At 37.6% G+C, this 24,155-nt stretch overlaps 1 protein-coding gene across 29 annotated transcripts in view; it reads left to right on the forward strand.

Annotated features, from left to right (window-relative positions):
• Positions 1-24,155, forward strand: part of UNC79 (unc-79 subunit of NALCN channel complex) — a 374,695-nt gene that overhangs the window by 128,392 nt on the left and 222,148 nt on the right. For 15 of the 29 annotated variants that reach the window (XM_011537018.3, XM_017021507.2, XM_011537022.3 and 12 more), the window contains exons 1-4: positions 1,631-5,326; positions 6,098-6,218; positions 12,516-12,820; positions 15,985-16,155. In XM_011537018.3, coding sequence (XP_011535320.1) covers positions 5,170-5,326; positions 6,098-6,218; positions 12,516-12,820; positions 15,985-16,155 — 754 coding nt within the window. In that variant the 5' untranslated portion in view covers positions 1,631-5,169. Of the gene's footprint in view, positions 1-1,630; positions 5,327-6,097; positions 6,219-12,515; positions 12,821-15,984; positions 16,156-24,155 lie in introns of those variants that run through there. The other 14 variants (XM_011537027.3, XM_011537026.3, NM_001395159.1 and 11 more) reach the window with 3 other exon arrangements.

The following is a 24,155-nucleotide window of genomic DNA, read 5'->3' on the forward strand; positions in this document are numbered from 1 at the left end:
CTGTAAAAAGCCATTCTTTCCCTTCCTGCCTTGTCTACTTTCATCCTTACTAGGAACTCAGCAAATTCAGTACTTAATAGGCACCGAGGGTATACAATGGTGAACAAAAAGCTCACTGTTCACTTAGAAAAGACAGTCAACGGTCACCTAAATAAATACATCATTACAAATTGTGCTCACTACTCTGGACAAAACTGCAGAGTGTTACACAGAAAGAAATGAAGGTGGAGATCAGGGAATCATTTTGGACAAGGAAGTTTGCAAAGACCTCCATAATGAGGAAGGGACACTTAAAGTCAGTTTTGAAGTATGAGTAGGAGTTAGTCTCACAAAGTGTGGAGGGAAAGCACTCTATGAAGAGGGACAAGGACATAGAAAGGTTTTCAAGCAAAAAAAAAAAAAGAAAGAAAAGAAACACAAAAAAACAAAAACCGGTGTTAAGGAAAAAATGGGCTAGGTGTGGTGGCTCTTGCCTGTAATCCCAGCACTTTGGGAGGCCGAGGCGGTCAGATCACTTGAGGCCAGGAGTTCGAGAACAGCCTGGCCAACATGGTGAAACCCCGGCTCTACTAAAAATACAAAATTAGCCAGATGTGGTGACCGGCACCTGTAATCCCAGCTACTGGCAGGGCTCAGGCAGGAGAATCACGTGAGCCTGGGAGGTGGAGGTTGCAGTGAGCGGAGATCGGGCCACTGCATCCCAGGCTGGGTGACAGAGCAAGACTCTGTCTCAAAAAACAAAACAAAACAAAACACACACACAACAGTGTCTGGCTTTTGTGTCACGACGTTAGGTTGGAAGGTAGGCAGGGACTTTGACCACACTAAGGAGGATTTGGGATTTTGTCCTGAAGACAGTGGGCAGCCCCTGAAGGACTTTGAGCAGTGGTTACTGTTTATGACTGTATGAAGCAGTTTATAATTTAAAAAGATCTGTTTGGCTGCTCTGAGGAGAAGGAGTGGAGAGAGGCAAGAAGAAATCTGAAAAATGAGTTAGGAGGCTGTTAGACTTGATCAGGAAATGCTGCTGCTGAGTAATGACAGTGACGATAAGGAACAGAAGACAGTTGGGAGATGTATTTGATAGGATTTAGTGATAAGACTTAGTGATTAATAGGACTTAGTAATGGATTGGATTAGAGGAGTGAGGTACGGCGGGGAATAGGGTCTGTCAAGGATGAGCTTTAGAATGCTTTGCTTGAGTGACTTGGTGGGTTACACAGATGGTGGAGTAGGTTTCTTTCTTGGGGGAAGGGAGACCTAAGAGTCAATGTCAGACATGTTTTCTTTGAGATATTTATAAGATTCCCAAGTGGAGAAATTGAATCGATGAGGCCTGTTATTCACAACAGCTACCCACCTGGGATGGAGACAGACCTTTCAGAGCAGTTGGCCCCTGGATGCTCCTGACAGTCCTGTGGATGGATGGGATTGCCTATGGGGAGAATATTGAGAGAGAGGAACAGAGTCTAGGACTGAGCCCTGATGAATTCCAACACTTAGATATCAACTAATAGGGGGAAGTGGCAAAGCACTTGAAGAAGGATACGTTCCAGGGGGAGGAAGAGCAGGGGAATGTGGGGTCTGGGACGCCAAGGGGAGAGAGTTTCAAGAAGGAGGGAGGGAGGGATTGACTGTACAGAATGCTCTGAAAAGCCTAGGAAAATGGTGATCGGAAAGTGCCTGATGGATTGGCAATCTGGAGGCTCTAGATGATTGTGGGAAATGGATTCAGTGCAGTGGTGGATGTGGGAGCCAAACTGGAGTGAGTGGAAGGAGGAATAGAAAGTGACAGAGAGAGGAGAATGTGTGCAAGACTCTTCATCATCTTGGCTCTGAAGGCAGAGGACTGTCGCTGGAGGGGAATGGAAAGGCAGGAGAGAGGTTTTTTCTTTCCCTTCGACAAGAGAGATTCTACAGTTTGTTTGAATCCTGGTAGGAATGATTTAGCAAAGGAGGAGAGATTAATTTCATAGGAGACACACTGATGGATGGAGAGCCCCAGTGAATGCTGGGATTGGTGTTTGACAGGACAAGGAAAGGAGCTGCTAGTAGGTTTTTGACATCTACTATTTAATATATGTGGAGTGTATACCAGGCACTGTGCAAAGTATCCACTCGCACCATAATCACAATAGCACAGTAATCACAGTAGCCCTGTGAAGTTGATGTAATTATCCCCATTTTACAGATGAGGAAATTGGGCTTAAGTGGAGATAGATCCAAGGCCTTAAGTCAGAACTGTTTGATTTCAGAGTTCATATTCTTAACTCTTACTAATAAGATTTCCTCGGGGCCGGGCGCTGTGGTTCATGCTTGTAATCCCAGCACTTTGGGAGGCGGAGGCGGGCGGATCACGAGGTCAGGAGATTGAGACCATACTGGCTAACACGGTGAAACCCCATCTCTACTAAAATTACAAAAAATTAGCCGGGCGTGGTGGTGGGCACCTGTAGTCCCAGCTACTTGGGAGGCTGAGGCAGGAGAATGGCGTGAACCCAGGAGGCAGAGCTGGTAGTGAGCCGAGATCGTGCCACTGCACTCCAGCCTGGGTGACAGAGCGAGACTCCATCTAAAACAAAACAAAACAAAACAAAAAAAGATTTCCTCTATGATGGTGTATTAGTTTGCTCCAGCTGCCATAAAAGTACCACAGACTGGGTGGCTAAAACAACAGAAATGTATTTTCTCACAGTTCTGGAGGCTTGAAGTCTGAGATTGAGGTGTTGGCAGGTTTGGTTTCTCCTGAGGCCTCTCTCCTTGACTTGCAGATGGCTGCCTTCTCTCTCTGTCCTCACGTGGCCTTTCCTCTGTGTTCCCACATTTCTGGTATCTCTTATGTGTCCTAATCTCCTCTTAAAAGGACAGCAGTCAGATTGGATTAGGGTCCACCACGGAAACGGCCTCATTTTAACTTAATCACCCTTTTAAAGGCCTTATCTCTGGGTACAGTCACATTTTGAGGTTAAGGTTTCAACATATGAATTCTAAGCGCCACAAAATTCAGTCAATAACAGATGGCTTTTTAAAGTATAAGGAAAGGGGTGGCCCCGGGGGGAGTTTTGAAGATAGTATAACTATAATTGAAGAGTGTAGAAGAAGGAGCTTACTAGAGAAATGTAGCCTTAGGGTCAGTTGAGGTTGAAGATCATTCATTTATATCTATTGGGCCCAATTATTCGAGCCTCCGCAGCAGCAGTCAGGTATATGTGTGGAGTAAAGAGGAGCCCTGCTTTGATGAGGCTGCTGGATGCTCACATGGGCTTATTAACCAGCCAAATGACCACCTCTCGTGCACAAAATTGAACTGTAAATGAGTTTTATTCACATCCTTGGCACAAGTACAAATTACTATTTGTCATGGACCTTTTTGGCTGCTCTCAAGTTGTTGAAAACGTGGATGTTAAATCTATTACTGCTAAGATTTTGTTGCATTCACCAATGCACAAATTGGCTTGAACATTTTTTTCAATCTGTTCTAAAAATGGTCTTTCATGATTACTCACCACTCTCTTCCTCTTTCTCTGTCCCACTTTCTTTCTTCCTTTTTTTTCTCCATCTTCACTTATCAACAATTTATTGAGTACCTACTAGGTGTCTGGCACTAAGGATGAAGAGTCCACAATCTATCGTATGTCTATATGCAGGTATATATGTGTATAGTGTACATATATATGCAGATATGTATACTCTCTATATATCCTAAAGACCTGAGTGATAAGTGCTGTTACTAAAGTATTAATTCATTTGTTAATTTAATCCTATGAATATATTGAGTCCCTACTAAGTGCCAGACAGTGTGTTAGGCTTGGGATAGAGCCATGAGTAAGGTATAGTTTCTGCCCTTAAGAAATTTACAAGCTGGTATAGAAAAACAAGCAGGTAAGTACACAGAGACAATGCAATATGACTTTTGTAACATTACAAGATCTCAAAGAAAAAAGTGACTCTTGTCTCTGCTTTGCTGTGCATATTTGGGTACCTGTGGAAAGGAGCTATTGCTGCATTTTAATGAAAAGAGCTATAAAAAGAACATCCTTTCATTTCATAAACATTTTTGAATGCTTGTAATCATTGTGTAGTGATGGTTTTATAGCTCTTGAATTATGAGCAAGCCATTGAGTTGAGGGATTTGTGAGTTTTTTCCTCATTTGAACTTATTGTCCATACCCTGTACTATTATCAACTCCTTTACTTAGGTGATGGAATGATTAATGGTATTCCTGAAATACTCTACAGAAACTTGCTGAATATTAAAACTTGAGAAAAGTCACAGTAATGCTTCATTACTGTGACAGTGGGTGAGCAGACAGCATGTGCTGGCCTAGCATATATCTCGGATATTTGGAACTTGGAACTATGCATTAATGTGGGGATTTTCTTGTAGTATGGTTTTTGAAATATAATGAATAGCAGATCAAAAACACTGAGAAGGAAATGGACTTTTGTAGATTATGCAATCAAACTGTTTTCAAGTATCACCTATTATCTCAGGAAAAAAAGTTATTTACTACCAAATATTTATGGAGTTAATTGAGATGATGTTTATAAACTTATTGCTTTCTTTGGAGCTGATGTGTTACATAGACTCAAGGTATTATTATCTGCAATCTAGACTTATTTCTTTGGGAAAATGCTAACCATATTATGGAAATAGTTCAGGTAGTGGAAGAGAGAAAAGGCAAATCTGATAAATAGTGTATGTAGGATTTAGAATCAGTGATTAACCTGGTAACTTCTGGAAATTGCTTTGATGTCAAGCAATGGACGTTCACATTCATGTGGATGTCACGTTCACGTGGACATAATTTCAGAGTCATATTCTAGAGTGTGTCATAGTGGAAAGATCACTGGATTGGGATCAGGAAATCTAAGTACTAGTCTGGCTCTGCCATTGACCACCTATGTGCCTCATTTTCCCCATCTTTAAAAGGAAGTGGTTATGGGAAGAGGTCTCTAAGGTCCTTCCAGTTCTGATATTTTGTCGTTCTGTGCTTCTACGTCCCACACTTATCAAAAGGATTTTGAGTTAGAATGCATCCAGGAGCTTATTTCCGTGGGTTATTGGGAACAGCAGGCCTTGCTTCTCCAGGACTTGATATGTCTTCTGTTAACTGCTGACAGTGAGCCATACCACCTAAAAGGCTCCCTTAAAGATTGAAAGGACAAATGGACAGTGTTGAGAACTCTGTGGAAGAGGAGACCAGAGAGACGTTGATCATCATGGCTCCTTGGGATTTGCAAAGAGGAATGACTAGAACGGGGTCCTTCACTACAGCCAGGTCAAAGGTCAGGTCAGGAATGTGGACAATGCTGGTGACTCCAGGTAGGTCTAGGAGGGTAAATAAATCTATTGAGTCCCTCCTGAATCTTGAGAAGATCTGGGCAGCCAAGCTCAGAAAGCTATTAGGAAGTCTCCTAATTTATGAGATTCTTTGGAAGAAAAATGTGACATTTATTTTTTACATTTTTATTAGTGCACAATCATTGTATTCTTACTTAACACTCATCATGTTAATCTACTCTTAACATATTCTCACAGCTAAAGCATTTACTAAACACACTTTCATGATCACATGTTGAGTTAATAATCTGACTTCAATTGATGCCATTGTGCAATGGAACTCCCTATATTTTAGGATTTTTTGAGTGTTGTAGAAAGACTTTTCAGTTTTCTCCTTCAGTTTTAGTTAAGCAACATTAAATGTAATTCCTTGGCAAAGACTTATATCTATTATTATTTTGCTAATAATAAGCCAACTTGGGGGTGATTAGAAAACAATTTGGAGTACTGCTTTTCTTAGTGATAAAAACAAGCAATAGATAATTTGTGAATAGGATATTAAACCAGAAAACTAAGAATAATTTTGTGTGCCGAATACAATTAAAAGAAATTAAAAGTTTTTTTGTAATTGTTTCTATCATGGAATTCTATTAAAAATTTACTTATGTTTCTTAAAATACTGATTAAATTCTTGTTTGTAATCATTTTTAAAAATGACTGTATGCCTAATACATATTACAAGATGATTCTTCTCTTTCTTTTTCTTCTTCCTTTTTTTTTTTTTTTTTTTTTTTTTTTTTTGCTTTTATCTAGTTGCTTCCAAGATCCGGTACTTGCAGGAATATCATAACCGGGTTCTCCACAACATTTATCCTGTACCATCAGGAACAGATATTGCAAACACCTTGAAATACTTTTCTCAGACCTTGTTAAGGTAAGCTTTACAATATCCTCTACTTTGAGAGAATTATTAGGTAGTATTGCTGAATTTATTGGGATCTAAATTTTTATTGAATTGCAAGTTTTAAAGGGCCTATGTTTTCTAGTGCTCTGTCAGAAGAGTCTGTGCTCAAGTTCTCTGGGTGTATGTAGCAAATTGGATCCCAGGCCCAGCTGAAAAAGATTGGTTGCCTGGCTACTGCCTGCTTTCCCGCATTGAACATCTTTTCAGGGCATCTTTAAAATGATACAGTTCTATATTTGGCACTAATATAGAGTGGGATTAAAAGGATAGCCTACAATTGCTTAAAATTAATAATTGGAAACACTTTTGGTCTAAAAGCAATTCAGAATTATGTGGCATTTTAGGTTCATCATTAGCATTTTCTATTTCCCTAAGTGTAATATACAGTGATAATAGTTATTTTTAATCTGGGTAACACTTCACATGTTCAACATGCTTTGCCTTGATAATGAAATTCTATGAAGGACAAGGAAAAAAAATAGGGCTCTTTTTCTTTTGTCTACTTTTACTGTAAGGTAGAGATAGGAGGGCCCTATTTGCTCCACGTATCTTGATTAAGAAAACAGAGCAAAGAAAGCTGAACTGTTCAAGTAAAGGCTCAGTTGTTTTCAGAAATAACATTGAAGAATTCAGAAGAACCTCTCACGTTCCATTAAATTCCAAGATGTGGTTTCTCCATTACCACGGTCTTCTCACTTCAAATCTGATTTTGGCAACACATAAATTGGCTTGGTACTGTTTCTTTTAGCTGTACAGAAGCAAAAATTTTGTAAGACAGATATTAGGAGAACACAAATTTGCAAAGACTAGTGGCACTGGAGTTTCTAGCAGTCGAAAGCTTTGCCACGGGAAAAGCTGAATGCTTTGCGGATGGAAGCTTCATGCGATCAAGTCAGCTACGAATCTTTTGCAGTCCTCCTATCTTTCTGTTCTTATTTTTTGAAATATCTTTCCTTCTTTAGAGTCCTTAGTGATCCTGTTCTATATTGAAGGGCTCCTGCTTATCAGATTCATACATTTCATACTTGCACGGTAAGGTTAGGACCTCTTACAGGATATTTTCCTTCTTCTCAAATTGTAGTGGAATAATTAGCCCAATTTTCATAGTGATCATCAGAAAAATTTATGAATCAAGGCATCCAATTCTGTTCTCTTGAATTCTTCTTTTGTCTTTGAGGTCCAAGTTCTCAATGGAAAACAGTTTCCTTTATGACAAATTCTGAAAGTTCTCAAAGCGAGAGACACTTTTCAGTAGGAAGCATGCTGAATTCCATTTGCCAGGAAACTGTAATATCCTAGTTGGCACCTCAGAGCTTGCTGCTTAGGTCTTAGTGATTGTGCCCAAGAGTTAAGGAATTTAAAATATTGAAAAGTCACGTTTGCAAGACGTAAAGATTCCATTTTCTTGAGCAGTGGACCATTAGAATATGATCATAGGTGGTAGTATTTTAGTGGTAAAACTGGTAGTTTGTTCAAGTGGCTTGTTGGAGAAGATCCTATGCAACTGAGCTGAGTTCATTTTCAAACGGAGGCAACATCAACATGTACTGCTAATGGTAATAGTAACAATTGCAACCATTTTTTTTAAAACTAGAAGTACAGAACTGTTGATATGTACATCTATAACAATCGTATTTGTACTTCTTCATTTTATTTATGCTATTAGAAAGTTCAAGACAGCCAGACATGGTGGCTGGCATCTATAATCCCAGCTGCTTGGGAGGCTGAGGTGGCAGATTAAAGGAAGTGCTTAGCACCAAGATTTGTCATCTTTTCAGAATTTAAGTGAATTTAAGTGGAGATAATGTTAGCAACCAGAAGTCTCAAACTTCAAGTTTGAGACCAGCCACAAGTTTGAGATCAGCCTGGACAACATAGTAAGACCCCATCTCTAAAAAAATTCTTTTAACAATTAGCCAGGTGTGGTGGCATGCACCTTTAGTCCAAGCTCCTCAGAAGCTGAGGGAGGAGGACTGCTTGACCCTAGGAGTTTGAAGCTGCAGTGAGCCTTGATTGCACCACTGTACTCCAGCCTGGGTGACAGAGCGACACCCTATCTCTAAGATAAATAAATAAATAAATTCAAAGACAAATAATATGGTCTAAGCATTTGGTGTCCAAGATTAGTGGCAGTAAGATTTTCTACTACAAACAAGATTTTCTACTGCAAAATTATTATATATTGTTTAATATTATTAAAGCATTTAATATGATCTTTATGTTCAGAAGCACTTCTTGCTTTCAGAACTCAGGTTCTTGGGGGAAAAATAACAAGAAGAAAGAATTAGAGATGAATTCTCACGAAGTAACTATTTGTCTTTCTATGTGGATATTCTCAATGAAGTTAAAATGGTTTTTTTTTGGTTAAAATATGCAACTTGAAATTTCAGCAGCTTCACTTGAGTCAGGGTTGCATTTTTGGAGCAATAGTTCGTGGTATTTGTGCATGCATACAACTCTCATGATTTTAGTAGAGTTTCGTACCTATTTCAAAAGGCAGAAATTAGCTTAGACATTTAACTTCGATTTATTTAATTTGTAGGAGGGGAGAGATTGTATGTTACCATAGTTGACTATAAAATCAGTTGAAGAGTCCACATATGTCCACTTAGCTCATAATTAGACTCAAATTTGTGTTCATGGGCATTCCTTAAACTCTAGTAGTGGAAGGTGAGTCCTACATGTTATTTAGCTTGCTAGCCCTTGTGTCTGGAGCAGTGTTTAACCCAGAGAAGGGGATCAGTAAATGTTTGTTGAATTGAATTGAGTTGACTTTAGTCCAAATTTCATCCAGCGTTGGAATCCTTCTAGTTAATGCTATTTACTTAATCTAGTGGTGACCTGGGGTCTGGTAAAGTTACATCTGAGTGCCGAGTTGTACTCATTTTAATTTAGCAGATACCTAAGTTTGGCAGTGAGCAACACACAACTTCAGAGTTTAGTTCTTTGTTTGCTTTTAGCATTAGAAGTAACTACCAAGACCATCCAGTTTAATCTCCCCTCACTGCTACATGGGAGGGAGTCTGTTCTTTTTATATTGGAAACATCCTGTGGCCATATTTTCAACAGCGAAGGTCTTTAAGAATCTTGCTTTTTACCTGGCAGGACATTTAAAGGATCCTAGTCTTCTTCCTATGTCAAACATTCTTTTGGAATTTCTTCCCCCAGATCTCTCTTCTGGTGCTGTTTAGGCTGCTAGCATGTAAAATCTTTTAACGAAATTACATTTGGGGAAAGCTGCTTGCTGCTATTTAGAAAATGCCTAATATGTTATAAAAATGGATTGTAGATGCAGCATAATAATCTTAATTGAATTGTAATTTCCAGTTGCTTAGGAAGAATATATGTATATATCCTCCATGTTATTGGTTAAGTCATGGAGTAACTTTAGAGCATTGCATAATGAAGTAAATTTTGTTAAGTACATAGATTCAACTCAAATGTCAACATTCCTAATCTTAAAGGAAGTTTGTTTGACATATTAATTTTCTGTGCTATACATACCTCAGGGCAACTTCTCATCTTTCCTCACACCAACAGAGGTCTTCCTCTCTTGATGCTGAAAGTCAATGTTTGATAAAGAGAATCTCAGGAGGAAAAGGGAAAGGTGAAAAGCTGGCTGCAGAGTCAAACTCTTCTGAGCAGGGCATTCTTAATATTCATTTTGGTTGGGTTTACAGAACTGTGGGAAAGAATTTCAGGTGGGGAAAATGGTTTTATCAGCTCCCAAGTTAGGCAGTTTGGTTGGGGAAATACTTTTTTTTTTTTCTGAATAAACTTCACAAAACATCATAAAATCACAATGCATTGTACATTTATTCATGAGCCCTTCTTAAGTTTTTCCACAAATGAAAACATTTCCTTACATTGAGACATGAATGGTAATTTAAAACTGGTTTCATGGATGACTCATTTTCAGCCATTTTTTTTCTCAACCTCACCGAATTCTCAAATCTAAAGGCAGTGAGAGAGAAGTTTTACTGTTTTCATGCTGACATTCTTCCCTCCCTGCATGTATGAAGCTGTTGTTGCTATCGTTTGGGAACCCCACATATACAGGAAGGGAAAAATATCAAAGTAGAGTCTCCAAAGTATTTGTTAACTGACATCATACTTTGGAAAAATACTAAGGTATATTTGAAAAAATAATGTGTTTATTTCCCCCACCAAGAAGTTTGATCAGAGCATTGCACTTAATTTAAAGCATAGCATTAATTTATGGTATTCAGCTATTTTTATTTTCTAAGGCAAAATGTTGTTCTCCTTATACCACTTCTATAAGATTCACATTTTGTAATTTTGAAAAGATGCCAATAGTAGGTTAATTTAGGGCCGAAGTTTGGGAAATAATATCTCTGACTTATAGCCATTGTGATTCTAGAGGAATTTTCAGTGGGATTAGAATCCTACAGGATTAAAACAGATTTTTGGTGACTGGGTTTATCAAGAATATAACATTAATAAAGGTGGTATTCTTAGGAATAATTGAGTCATGTGAGAAAAGTATAAAGTCTGATGAAAAATCTGATGGCATTTATAATAGATACAGTCAGGTGGTAACTGGAATATTGATATTATCCCATTGTAAAGTATAAGCTTACAAAGTCAAATACATCACACACAAAAAGGTAAATTAAATCCCTTTAAATTACAAAAAAAAATCTTAAGTTATTTATTGATAAGAAGTATTACATAAGTATTCTGAAATTATTTTTATTATTATCAATTGTTTTCCCCTGGACATTGGGTAACAGAAGACAAAGGAAATCGAGGTAAATTAGGCACATGGAAAATACAAAGCATGTAGTCATTTTTCTTACATTGTAACATATTTTGCACTAAGAGCAAATAATAAAAATAAATGCAAACTTGATAGAGCAAGCATGCTTGACACTAACCAATTCTTGACATCACTGTAAAATTGTAAATGTAATATCATTAACTAAGAACTTAGTAATGTTTGATGCACATAGAGCAACTGTAAAACAAGGTTATTTTTATGTAATGAACCATTTATAAACTGTTATCTACTTGGACTAACATAAGTGTACTATATAAAAGCACTTTGCAAGTGCGCAGATATTATCATTCTAATGTATAGCTATTGTCTTTAATGCTAAATAGTATAACCTAATTTTACAAAACCTAAACATTTTGCTAAGCAGTAACTTCTTCTATTTTTAAATTAACAACTTTTCTGCTTTATCACTTTTACCAAAAAGGTTTTTATTTTAAAATTAAGGCTAAAAGAAAACCAATTTATTTTTAGAATTTATTTTTATTCCCATTAATTTTTTTTAACTTTCTAAATTATCTTTCCTTTAGTCTTTAGTGAGTTTTGTTGAATAATAACGTAAGTAGCAGCAGTAATATATGAAATCTTACTGTATGATGTGCAGCTATATGACAGATACTGCTTGCTTAGTCGTTAGGATTTTGAAGGTAACTATTTAATAAACCACTGTTTGTATTCATAAAATAAAATGTTTCCTCCCCAACATGCAAAATTTAAAAAACACACATAAATAACCATTATCATTAGTTCACAAACATATGCTATGGACCATCAACTATATATTATTTTATAGCTTTTCCAATGTAGTTTAGCTAACATTTTAGAAATATGTATTATTTCTAAATTCATATGCCTGTTTAAACTTCATTATCTCAAATGATACTGACAGAATGTCATGAAACAGTATCATAATATACATATAGACATTATTTTGATGCAATAAACATGTGATTTTTAAGACTTTCTTAATAAACACACATGTTTATTCTTTGCTGAAACATGTTTCTGCAAGTGCCATACCTATATTTTGCAAGTTCCTATTTACCTGATGAAGACAGTCTTGCTGAAAATGTCTTTTCCTTTGAAAGCTCCTTGTAATTAGGAATAAGAGCCCTTACTCATTAGACAAAGCCGTTGTTTTTTTCTCCCAGGAAACCTCTCCTTCACCAAATTGCTAAACTGTAAAACATGGGTTTGGCACTGAAACATGCATTTTTATATTTTTGCTCCTTACTAACCAGATAACACATGAGATGCAATGAGACTTCCACAAAGTAAACCTTGTATTATTGGTACCTCTGAGCACGAAGCTATGTGACCAGTACTAGACTGGTAGACCCTGCTGGCGTGGCAATTGCATCTTATGTGGAATGTATCTGGTGTTTTATTATTTGTTTTAGAGTGTCATTTCAATGTAATGTGCTGTTCTTTGTGTCTTTGTTGTCTCTTTTTTTTCTTTGTCCCCCCAACAGCATTTTGTCCCGCACAGGGAAGAAGGAAAACCAAGATGCCTCCAATTTGACAGTGCCCATGACCATGTGTCTTTTTCCTGTGCCATTCCCACTCACCCCATCTCTAAGACCGCAGGTCAGTTCCATCAACCCTACTGTTACTCGCTCCCTCCTTTACAGCGTCCTGCGAGATGCTCCCTCAGAACGCGGCCCGCAAAGTCGTGATGCTCAGTTGTCAGACTACCCTTCTTTGGACTACCAAGGCCTCTACGTGACTTTGGTGACCCTCCTGGATCTAGTTCCTTTACTACAGCACGGCCAACACGGTGAGCACTTAGCTGAAACCTTTGGAAATGTACGTGGATGCTTATGAATGTATATGATGCTGAGCAAGGGGCTTGGAGATGGTCACTGTTGTAATCAATCACCTGAAAGGGCTTTGTGTGGCTAGAAGCACTACACTGAAACTTCATTATGGTGCTTCCCATACTATTATTTTACACTGTTTTATTGCCAGAGGGATGTTATCCAAGTGGAGTATTGGGGGAGAATGGGGCTGGAGAAAGGAGGAAGATGTATAACAAGAAATTTTCTCTTCTTTCCTGATCAGTTATCATGAGGACTCTTGTTGAAATTATGAGTGGGGAGATAAGATTTTAAAACTGTCACCCAGAAAATTAAGAAGTAGAGCATGAAGAGCAGGCTATAATCCACTGACTGATTCGGTAATTTTTGAGGGAGCAAATTCTCTAGGACCCATTTTTTCCTGTCTCTTTAATAAAGTCAGGAGGTTAGATGAGAAGTAATCTCTAACAACTCTTCCAAATGTAAACAACAATCAATAGTTATTACAAAATGTTGTATCAAAATGTAGATATAGTATATAGTGGCGCTGTATGCTGTATTCAGCATATGGTATTAGTGGTGCTATGTGCTATTTGCAGTATGTATACAATATATGATATTAGTGGTGCTTAGAATAGAAGTCTAAGAGCCTGCTTCTTTTCTTAACTCTTCCCCCTTTCTACTCTGTGTCCTTAGCCAGTTTCATTATCTTGGTTGCTTACCAAATTCTCCTAACCTGTAAAAATGGGAGAATCAAATGAAAAACAATGCAATAAGAAAAGGGATTTCTGCAGGTAATGCACTTTAAAACATTAGTTATTTTAACTTCAAAACTCTGATAATTTGGTCCCTGAAAGTATGATAACCAAAGTTTCACTGTACAGAAAAATTTGAATTTTGGAAAATAAGTGGGTAGTGGGGGTTATTTTGTCTTTTAGTTATGGCTAACTCCCCTAAGAGAATTCTTGATGGTTTATTTAGTACAACGTGTTCATAATATTAAAAGTTTAAAAATCTACGGAGATAAAAATGATGAAATAATGACTATTGGATTTGTTTTTTCTTACATTTACAATTCTGTGTTATGGTGAATGTAAAAGGTATAGAAATTCGTAAAGTTGCTTTTTGTATAATTCTGTAGCCGTCTTAAATCTAGCCACTTCTGCTGTGATCCTCTGCCAGCTCTGAACTTAAATGAGAGGATTCTTAACATAAGACTGCCAGAGCTTACTATGCTGATGAGCTTGTCAGTGCGTCTCCTTCGTGACTACTAGTCCTGAACTCACCTGGGACTTGCCTGGTCCTGGGTTGGTCCACTGTGTTAGGGGAGCTGCCCGTTATCTTCAAAGCCCCTTGATTAAGATAAAGACATTAAATTTGGTAAATTGCAATCTGTGTAATTGCAATTAATGTGTAAATTGTGACGATTTCAGGGGAGATGATTTGTATTTTTGCTCTTGTACCTGCGGCTGTTTTGTGACTTTGTGACATTGTTATTTAGCTATCGTGTTCTTGTTCTGCATGATAGAGCTTAGAAGGTAGGAAAAAACTCAGTAGATCAATCTAATGAATGGTTCAGAGAAACAATACGGCATTGTTTCTTGAAGCATGGTCTGAAAAACATCGGAATCACTGAGGGAGTTTGTAACATGGAATTCTGGTCCCACCCGGGGACTAGTTACTAAGAATCACTGAGAGGTGGGGCCTGAGGATCTGAATTTTTAGCAAGATCCTTGTGGACGCTTCTTTTGCATAGACTTTGAGAGCCGCTGCACTAAGACCGGAGGCTGTGTCTTGCTGCTGGGTCTGGGTGGAGCACAGGAAGAGCACTAGGCAACGGTTTTGTCGCAGTTCAACTGCTAACTCTCAGGTGATCCTGAACAATCACCTCTCTCCGGACCTCAGTTTCCTTATATGAAAAATACTCCAGTTGGGCTCCTTTCAGTGCTAATGTTCTGTAATTAGGCTAAAAGGCTCAGCAAAAGGAGCTGAGGTGTCTTGTATGCACAGCTTCGGTTAATTCTTAGTAAAACACCTGTGGATTTTCCATTTCATTCATTTGAGCTCAAGGTTGACTGACTCTGGCCCTCTAGTGTGCACTGTGGCCACATCCTTTCTGTTGTTAGCTGATGTGCCTGTTAAGATGGCATATTAATTCTAACGACAATCAGAAATAACATTAGGAATCCAAAGAAGGTTCATCTGCTGCAAAACAAAGAAGAGTCTAGTACTTTTCTGTTATAATGAATACAAAAGTGATCCAAGTCTTCATCATCAAACCTTGGCTGATGGCCTATATTTTGGGAAGTCCAGGAATATACAAATGTACATTTAGTGTAATGGGATTTGGCCTACATGCATTCTAAAGCTAAATAGTTATGGTTTTGTTGCATCTCCTTTATTTTTATTCTTGTGCAGGTAATAATAATAGTAACTGTTAATATTAGTAATAACAGCTAATATTTGTGGAGCACACAGTATGTGCTATGCTAAGGACTTTACATTTATCTCATTAAAACCTCCTAACAATCCTTCTAATGAAGTGAGGTAGGTATTGTTATGATCCCTGTTTAAAGATGTTGTTAGAAAGATTATTATTAGGTAGCACTTCCTCCCATGATCATTGATGACTCAATGCACATGGTCATGTAGCACCAGCTTACGGCTTCCCTTGTTTGGTGCTTGCTGAAATTGCTGCTCGGCTGAAGGTTGCAAATTACCTCATTGCCCGACACTCCAGATGGTTTGATTGATGGAGCAGAAATAGCCCGGTTTTATTTCTGATACTGCCCTTGACTTTTCTAAAACTTCCATTGGGCAAATCATCTAACTTCTTGTGCCTCAGTTATCTTGTGTAGAATGTAGTAATACAAATACCAAGTATTATTGAAGATTGAGAAAGTGTGGAGGAAAAATGCATGTAATGGATATTTATATTTCTTAACATATTCATTCATCAGTCATTTATTGACCAATTACTGTATAAATAGTACCCTATCAAACATTATGTTTCATAACACTTAATAGAGATGGAGCACTAGTTGCTTATAACTTAAACCAGTTCATTAAAGCTTAAAATGTAAAGTTAGCCTATTTTGTTAATTGCAAAATATTCAGTGACTGATTACTCAATTTTGTTTTGTAGATCTTGGACAGTCGATATTTTATACAACTACATGTTTGCTACCTTTTCTCAATGATGATATTCTGAGTACTTTGCCCTACACGATGATATCAACGTTGGCTACCTTTCCTCCATTTCTGCACAAGGATATCATTGAATATCTTAGCACATCTTTTCTACCAATGGCTATATGTAAGTCCAATCTTACCTAATACTAGATTATTTTTATGTATGATATGAATGGAAATTGCTTTTGCTGTTATAGGCTCTAGTTTTTCGAGATTATAATGGAATCACTTGATATATACAGGAGCTATGATTTCAATTCAGTCACTTTAGCATGGATATTATGGCGAAAGTCAAAGAAATGAAAGGCGTTAGGGCTTAAAATTGTTTTATTCAGACTGTTTGATCTTATAGAATAGAAAAAAAGAACATATCAAGGCAGTCTAGATTTCCTATGTATAAGTTACAGTATCTTTTACCACTTTAGAAAAAAGATGGGGAAAGTATTGTCTCAGATGCAGAAATTCCTATCTTTTGGCTTTGAAGGCAGTAGGATCTAATAGAAAGAGCATTAGATAGTCAGGATGTGTAAATTCTGGTCCCAGCTCTGCCTCTAATCTGGGCAGCTCACATAGTTGAAACATCATCTACAGAGTGACGAATCCATCAGCTTTCCCTTATAGAGGTATCGTGATGATAAAGTGACTCGAAATTTATGAAAGCACTGAAAAAAGCTAAAGCTTCCAAGTCATGTGCAATGTATGATTATAAACATAAAACTGATTTGAATCCTGTTTCATTTCTGTAGACTTAATCTTACAGGCTTTCCAGACATGCGCACAAAGAGAAAAAAATATTGCATTGTGGTTTTTATGATCAAAATCATTTTCAAGTATTTTTTAAAGAAATGGATTATGGATTAATCTATGTTTCAGTGGGAAATCCGAAAAGATTGTGGATTTAGGAGTCAAACGTTGGGATCCAAATCACAGCTCTTCCACCTACTAGCTATATGACTTTAGGCAAATTACCCAACTTTCTGTTTCTTTCTTATAAAATAATAATAATAATAATAGCTGCCTCATGAAGTTGTGGGATAATTAAGATGGTTAACTTGGAACATTGGTAAAATGCTAGCACAATGCCTGGTATGCAATAAGTGTCAGCTTGCTTCTCGCCTTCTCTCAACTATTGTTTTAGAAAAATACTTTCGTTGGTTACATTCAACTCCTAGTGATCATTATTCACATTTTAATTTTATGTACTTACGATCTTATTAAAGTTGTTGCTCTGTAATAACAATTGGTAACCATATATATCTTTTGAGCTACATTTGCTTATTTTTACAATCAAGTTTAATGTTAGCTATGGAATTGTACTTTTCATGTCTTTCAGCAAAGAGTTTGACTTCTCCCTAAATTATATAGCAATTCAAAAAAATTAGCAGACTGATCATACCATTCAAGTAATACAATATTTGATCATTTTCTTCTTTTGTTCTTACTGACAAGTACTCATTTCTTGATATCGTTTTAGAATTGCATAGTCATATCTTTAAAATAAGTGATGTTAACTGTTAAACTTAGGCATAAGAATTTTTGGTTTTTTGAAGCATAACAGATGAGGCTGTTTCCTTCCTTCCTTCCTTCCTTCCTTCCTTCCTTCCTTCCTTCCTTCCTTCCTTCCTTTCCTTCCTTCCTCCTTCCCTCCCTTTCTCCCTCCCTCCATTCTTCCCTTCCTCCCTTCGTCCCTTCTTTCTTTCTTTAGTTTTTTGAGATGAAGTAACACTCTGTCACCCAGGCAGAAGTGCAGTGGTGCAGTTTTGGCTCACTATAACCTCTGCCTCCTGAGTTCAAGTGATTCTCCTGCCTCAGCCTCCCAAATAGCTGGGACTACAGGCACCAGCCACCACGCCCAGCTAATTTTTGTATTTTTAGTAGAGATGGGGTTTTGCCATGTTGGCCAGGCTGGTCTCAAACTCCTGACCTCAGGTGATCCACCCGCCTCAGCCTCCCAAAGTGCTGGGATTACAGGCGTGAGCCACTGCACCTGGCTTCCTCCTTCCCTTCCTCCCTTCCTCTCTCTCTCTCTCTCTTTTCTTTTCTTTTTTGATATAGGGTCTTATTCTGTTGCCTGGGCTGGAGTGCAGTGGCACAGTCATAGCTCACTGCAGCCTCAAACTCCTCGGCTTAAGCGATCCTTTTGCCTTAGGCTCCCAAGTAGGGTGTGAAGGCCTCTACCACCATGCCCAGCTAATTAAAAAAATTTTTTTGTAGAGATGGGGTCTCACTATGTTTCCCAGGCTGATCTGGAATTCCCAGCCTCAAGTGATCCTCTTGCCTCAGGCTCCAAAGTGCTGGGAGGCGATGGTGGGATTAATGAGGAGGCTGTAGCTTTCTAACAATTAATCTAATTCACTAAATCCCTCCTTCTTAGGAATAAGTTAATAATTATGGGAGAGGTGTTGAAAATATCAGGCCTCTGAAGTTACATTTAAGATTGATCAAGTATTGTGATAGCTGACAATTTGTTTCTTTACACTTAATTATTAATTTCTACTTAATTAGAAACACAGATCCCAAAACATGCCATGTAGTCACGTTAGAATTCTTACTTACATAAATGTACAAACCTTGGCAACTGAGGAGAATAAAACAGTAAGTTGAGTTTACAAAATTTGTGTATATTTTAATGTTTATTAGAGGAGTAACTTGGCATTTATTTGAAGGTATGAACAAGTCACTTCATGTTCCCAAGGTCCCATTTTTTTTAACTATAAAGAAGGGGTTTGAAAAAAATGTTCAGTCTCGCAGATTACTTCTGGCGTACTAATTCTAGTTTAAGTAACATCAATATTATTTTATGTAAGAGGCACGTATTGTCCTCTAACCTAGTTGTTGGTCTACTTCATGTGTTTATTTTGTTGCTCTGGTTTTAGTCTTTTGGCTTTGACTTTCCTTTCTCATAATCATTCCTGTGGTTCAATAATAGCCAATATTTGTCATCTTTAAGTCTTTGAAAATAAATTGTAATACCAACCTTTACAGCCAAATTCGATTACACCATTCAGGTGTTTCCTTTGTACTTGTTATTTCATGAGTATACAAAGACATAGATCCAAAACCAGAAGGATATAGTTTCAGATTAATCATGTTAAAATGGACTGATGTGAGAATGTGTGTCCGTGTGTCGTATTCATGTTTTTTCTATTTTTTTGGTAGTTGTTTTGGTGTCTAGAAATTGTGACCAAAACAAGACAAGAACGCATAACTTCTTGCAGAATATTTTTATTTCAGGACTGAGATGTTAGGATGAAGGATATTGTATGTCCTGAGTACTTGATAAAGTCTTTAAGACAAAAAGGCTTTTTGGTGTGGTGTTCCTAATGTCAGATGGAAAACATGAACTGCTTTTCAGGTATAAAATGATTCTATCCTTAAGGACCTAGAAGATAAAGTTCTGATCTTTGAAGTGGACCTAATGAGGTATTGCAGCTCTTCAGAGTAAGAGGCCAGCATGTATATCAGAGATTTCCTCCTTACCATCCTTGTCAATAAACCAAGTGCTGGACTTTTATTTTAGAATGAGTCCTTTTAAGGTTCTGCAGAGCAAACTTCAACTTACTTATTGTGAAATTTTCCTTTGACATAGCTTTTCTTTTTAACTCCTTCCATAAATAAAATATATTTCTCTTTATTCCAAATGTGCTCAATATGCTTTGTTTATAAAAAATATATTAAAGGAGTTACTAAGAATTGAGAAAGTCATTTGCATGTCACCATGGAAACCTCTCTTTTTCCAATAAAGGATCTGTGATTTGTGGACTGAATTGAAATATGGAGATTTGGGAGATGATGGCTTTGGCAGAGAAGAGAAAGAGCTGATTCCAAGTGAACATTGACTGATGCAGGCTATGTTATTGTAAAGATGATAATAAAGCTGAACAATTATATCAGCTTAAGATATAATTGTTTAAGATTATTCTAACGTATCCTAGTATCCCAGACTATGCGGTCTCATCTAGTTCCCTTTCCACCTTAAATTTTCTCAAAAAGTCACTTACCTTCAGGAAAAATAAAGGTTCATTTAAATCTTAAGGGCATTATCTTAAAGGCAATTGCGTGACTTACCATTTTTTGTTCTATTCCTACTACTACAGAGGGTGCATGTTATGTTTCTATAACCTTCCAAAGACTAATAACACATAGAAAAAACAGTAAAAATGCAAAATATTAATGATATTTAAATAATCTTTAATATATGCAGTCTGTTTTATTAGCTACTGGTTGTTTTTCTAAGATAGGTTTCCCTATATACTTTGAGAGTTTTATTGCCGAGTCATGGGAAATGTTTTGAAATAGAAATCCAGAAGAGCTGAGTTATAATCCTTCAACTATTGGCAAATCTCCTAACCTCATGGAACTTTGGTTTCCTTAGCTGTAAAATGGTGATTAAGGATAACTTCCTGTGTCTACATCCCATGTTTGTTGTGAAGACCATGGAATAATGTATGAGAATAGCCTTAAAATATCATGTGATATTATGCACGTGTATATCAGGCCAAATGCATAGTCAAATCACAGACCTGTTAAATCCCATTGCAACTCATTCCAATACTTAGTTGAAATTCACACACTGTCCTGAAATTTCATCATCTTAAATATTGCTTGAGGTAAGAGGCCATCTGCTGGGGCTTGGCAACTTTTTCTTCTAGAGTTTGTTGTATAATAAAAATAATGATTGTAGCAGTTTTTGGATTCACAGAATCTGACAGACCACTTCCACAGTGTTAATGGGCATTCTGTCCATGACTTTTCATTAATCTATAATTCTGCAAATATTTTAATGCTGTGTAGGCTTCCAGGTCACGTTGTCTTGGTCTTCCCTTTATGTTTAACTGATAATGCCCTTCTGAAGGGATGGACATCTTATGCTTAAACCCTATCTCATGGAACACAATTACCTCTGCTCACACAAGTAGGAGGCCCGCGTAGAGGTGAGACCGCTTTTTAATCCAGGCAGTGCAGTCTGGCAGAATACAGGAAATGGTTCTGTCACATTGAAAAACTTACACCATAATGTGTTTCTTCCTGCCAGGTGTCTCCTTTACCTTCACCCTTTAGACAAGTATAAAGCCACTGGAATTCATTTCAGTATATCCCCATTCAGGCCACTTCTTACCACCAGCTTTCATTGGGGCCAGTCCAGTAGCTTCCGAACTGGTCTCCCTGCTTCCCTTTTTAGCCCTCCTACCTTCTGCTCTCCATCAAAAAGCCAGAGCTATCCTCCAAACATGTAAATCAGATCATGCCACTTCCTTCAGCAAAACCGTCTAGCTTCCCGTTACTCTTACAAATCAAATTCAGTGCCCTTCCTTAGCTCACAGGCCCTCTATGACCTGACCCTTGACTACCTTCCTGTTTCAATTACTACATCTCCTTGTCTTCACTCTGCTCCAGGAGCCTTGGCCTTTCTGCAGTTTCACAAAGGCACCACACTTTTGCTTTTGCTCCATGCTTTATTCTCTGTCTTCAAAGTCCTTCTCCCAAATGGTCTCATGATTATTTGCTTCCTTACATTCTTTAGGTTCAAGCTCAAGTACATCTTTCAAGATGCCCTTCCTTACCCTCTGGCTAAAACAGGACCTTCCATCGCTTTCTCTTTATTCCCTTGCACTGCTTCCATTTTGCCACAAGTACCTGTTTGCCCTTTCTTGTAGAATAGCGCTGTCTACAGAACTTCCTGTAATGATGGAATGTTCCATAAAAACATTAAAAATTTTGTGCTGTCCAGTAGAGTAGCCACTAGCCCCATGTGGCTACTAAGCTCTTAAAATGTGTTCAGTGAGACTGAGGAATGGAATTTTTAATATTATTTAATTTTAATTAAATTTAAATAGCCACGTGTGACTAGTGGTCACCATATCAGGTAACACAGCTCTAGCATCTAGGATCCATAAGGACAAAGACCTGTCTGTCTTTTTTTTTTTTTTAATTATACTTTAAGTTCTAGGGTACATATGCACAATATGCAGGTTTGTTACATATGTATACATGTGCCATGTTGGTGTGCTGCCATGTTGGAGTCCCATTAACTCATCATTTACATTAGGTATATCACCTAATGCTATCCCTCCCCCCTCCCCCAACCCCACGACACATGAGAGGCCCCTGTGTGTGATGTTCCGCATCCTGGGTCCAGGTGTTCTCAGTGTTCAATTCCCACCTATGAGTGAGAACATGCGGTGTTTGGTTTTCTGTCCTTGCGATAGTTTGCTCAGAATGATGGTTTCCAGCTTCATCTATGTCCCTACAAAGGGCATGAACTCATCCTTTTTTATGGCTGCATAGTATTCCATGGTGTATATGTGCCACATTTTGTTAATCCAGTCTATCATTGATGGACATTTGGGTTGGTTCCAAGTCTTTGCTATTGTGAATAGTGCCACAACAAACATACCTGTGCATGTGTCTTTATAGCAGCATGATTTATAATCCTTTGGGTATATACCCAGTAATGGGATCAGGGATTTCTAGTTCTAGATCCTTGAGGAACCACCACACTGTCTTCCACAATGGTTGAACTAGTTTACAGTCCCACCAACAGTGTAAAAGTGTTCCTATTTCTCCACATCCTCTCCAGCACCTGTTGTTTCCTGACTTTTTAATGATGACTTGTCTGTTTTTAGCACTGTATCCCCAGGACCTAGAACAATGTTTAGTATACAGGAAGTACTGACCAAAAAAGTTGTTGAATTTAATAAGTGACTAGAGCATTAGCTATGAAATCAAGTGACTTGGCCTGCAGTCCCAATGATTAGGTTGGTGCTGTCATGCAAATAACTTGATGATCTCTCTTTCATAAAATGGCTTTTCCTATATAACTCCTCTTTTGGATGATAGTCATATAAGAGCTGTACATAATAATATATTCAGAACTACAAAATGCAGGAACATATTAAGGCATTGTTACTATTTCTGGAGGGAGGAGATCATGGTAATGATTGTTCTGGTGATGCTGGGAGGATAGGGAATAGGACTGAGAACTTTTAATTGTATTTCCTGAGCACAATATTAAATGCAAAATTTTCTTATTTTGATTAATTATCTTCTCCCTTCTATTGTTTATAGTCTTGGCTTTTTACACCCTCATGGGGACAAGCTGCACATCTGTTTACATCATGCCTTTTTAACAAGATTCAATAAATGATGTGTGCCTGTGCATGTTTATTAAATTAGAATTGCAATGATTTTATTCAGTCTGTTAGAAGGCTAGGAAATTGTAAGGCACCGTCTGTTTATGTAAGTATTGCAGCCAGTTTTCTAGGGCTTGAGCCAGGGGAATGCTTTTGGCCTCCTGGCTGGTCATTCTTGAGGGAGAGTATGGATTTGTTGGAATAGGAGGGACATCCAGAGGTGGCTGAGCCATTTGGGCCATTCTGCAAATAGGCTTCGCCTAAATCATCTGAGACATGTGGGCATCTTTCCTACTTTTAAAGGCCTCCATTTACAGTGACTCTCAGCCTTCCTTAATAGCAGTTTTCATTGTTGAGAAATACATATTATTAAATGCATATTATTAAAAAGTTTGAGATGAATTTAAACAAAGGTGAAACACTTGTCCCAAAACAAGAATATATATATGTATATATATGTGTATATATATGTGTATATATATATATGTATATATATACGTGTGTGTGTGTGTGTGTGCGTGTGTGTATTTCTTGAATACATCTGAGACAAGAATTTCTCTTTTCTTTTTTTTAACAAAGGGCACAGGGTGTGCAATTATTCTTCCTGCACCTGGACACCTTACTGGGCATTTTCTTTCTTATTTCTCGTCCCTCTAATAGTACTTCTCAAAGAGTGGTCCAAAGCCAGCTTGCATCAGAATCACCTGATGTGCTTATTAATTAAACAGGTACTTTCCTGGAAACATGTAGTTTCCAAGCTGACTCTCCAGAAGCATCTTCTTTGGCCCCAAAGAAGCTGAATTTGAACAAGCTGCTTGGCTACAGTTTGAGAGCAGCCAGCGTGCACTTTGTTCCTTAGCATTTGGCTGAAAGTTCTTCTTTCTTGATTAATCACATTTGATTAATCAACTTGACATCTAAGAGCAGTGAATTGTTCTCCAATCTTTGTCTAATTATTAATACTTATTTATTAATAAGTTGTGGAGCCAAA

The sequence above is a fragment of the Homo sapiens genome, chromosome 14 (assembly GCF_000001405.40).
Source record: "Homo sapiens chromosome 14, GRCh38.p14 Primary Assembly".
NCBI classification, from domain to species: domain Eukaryota; kingdom Metazoa; phylum Chordata; class Mammalia; order Primates; family Hominidae; genus Homo; species Homo sapiens.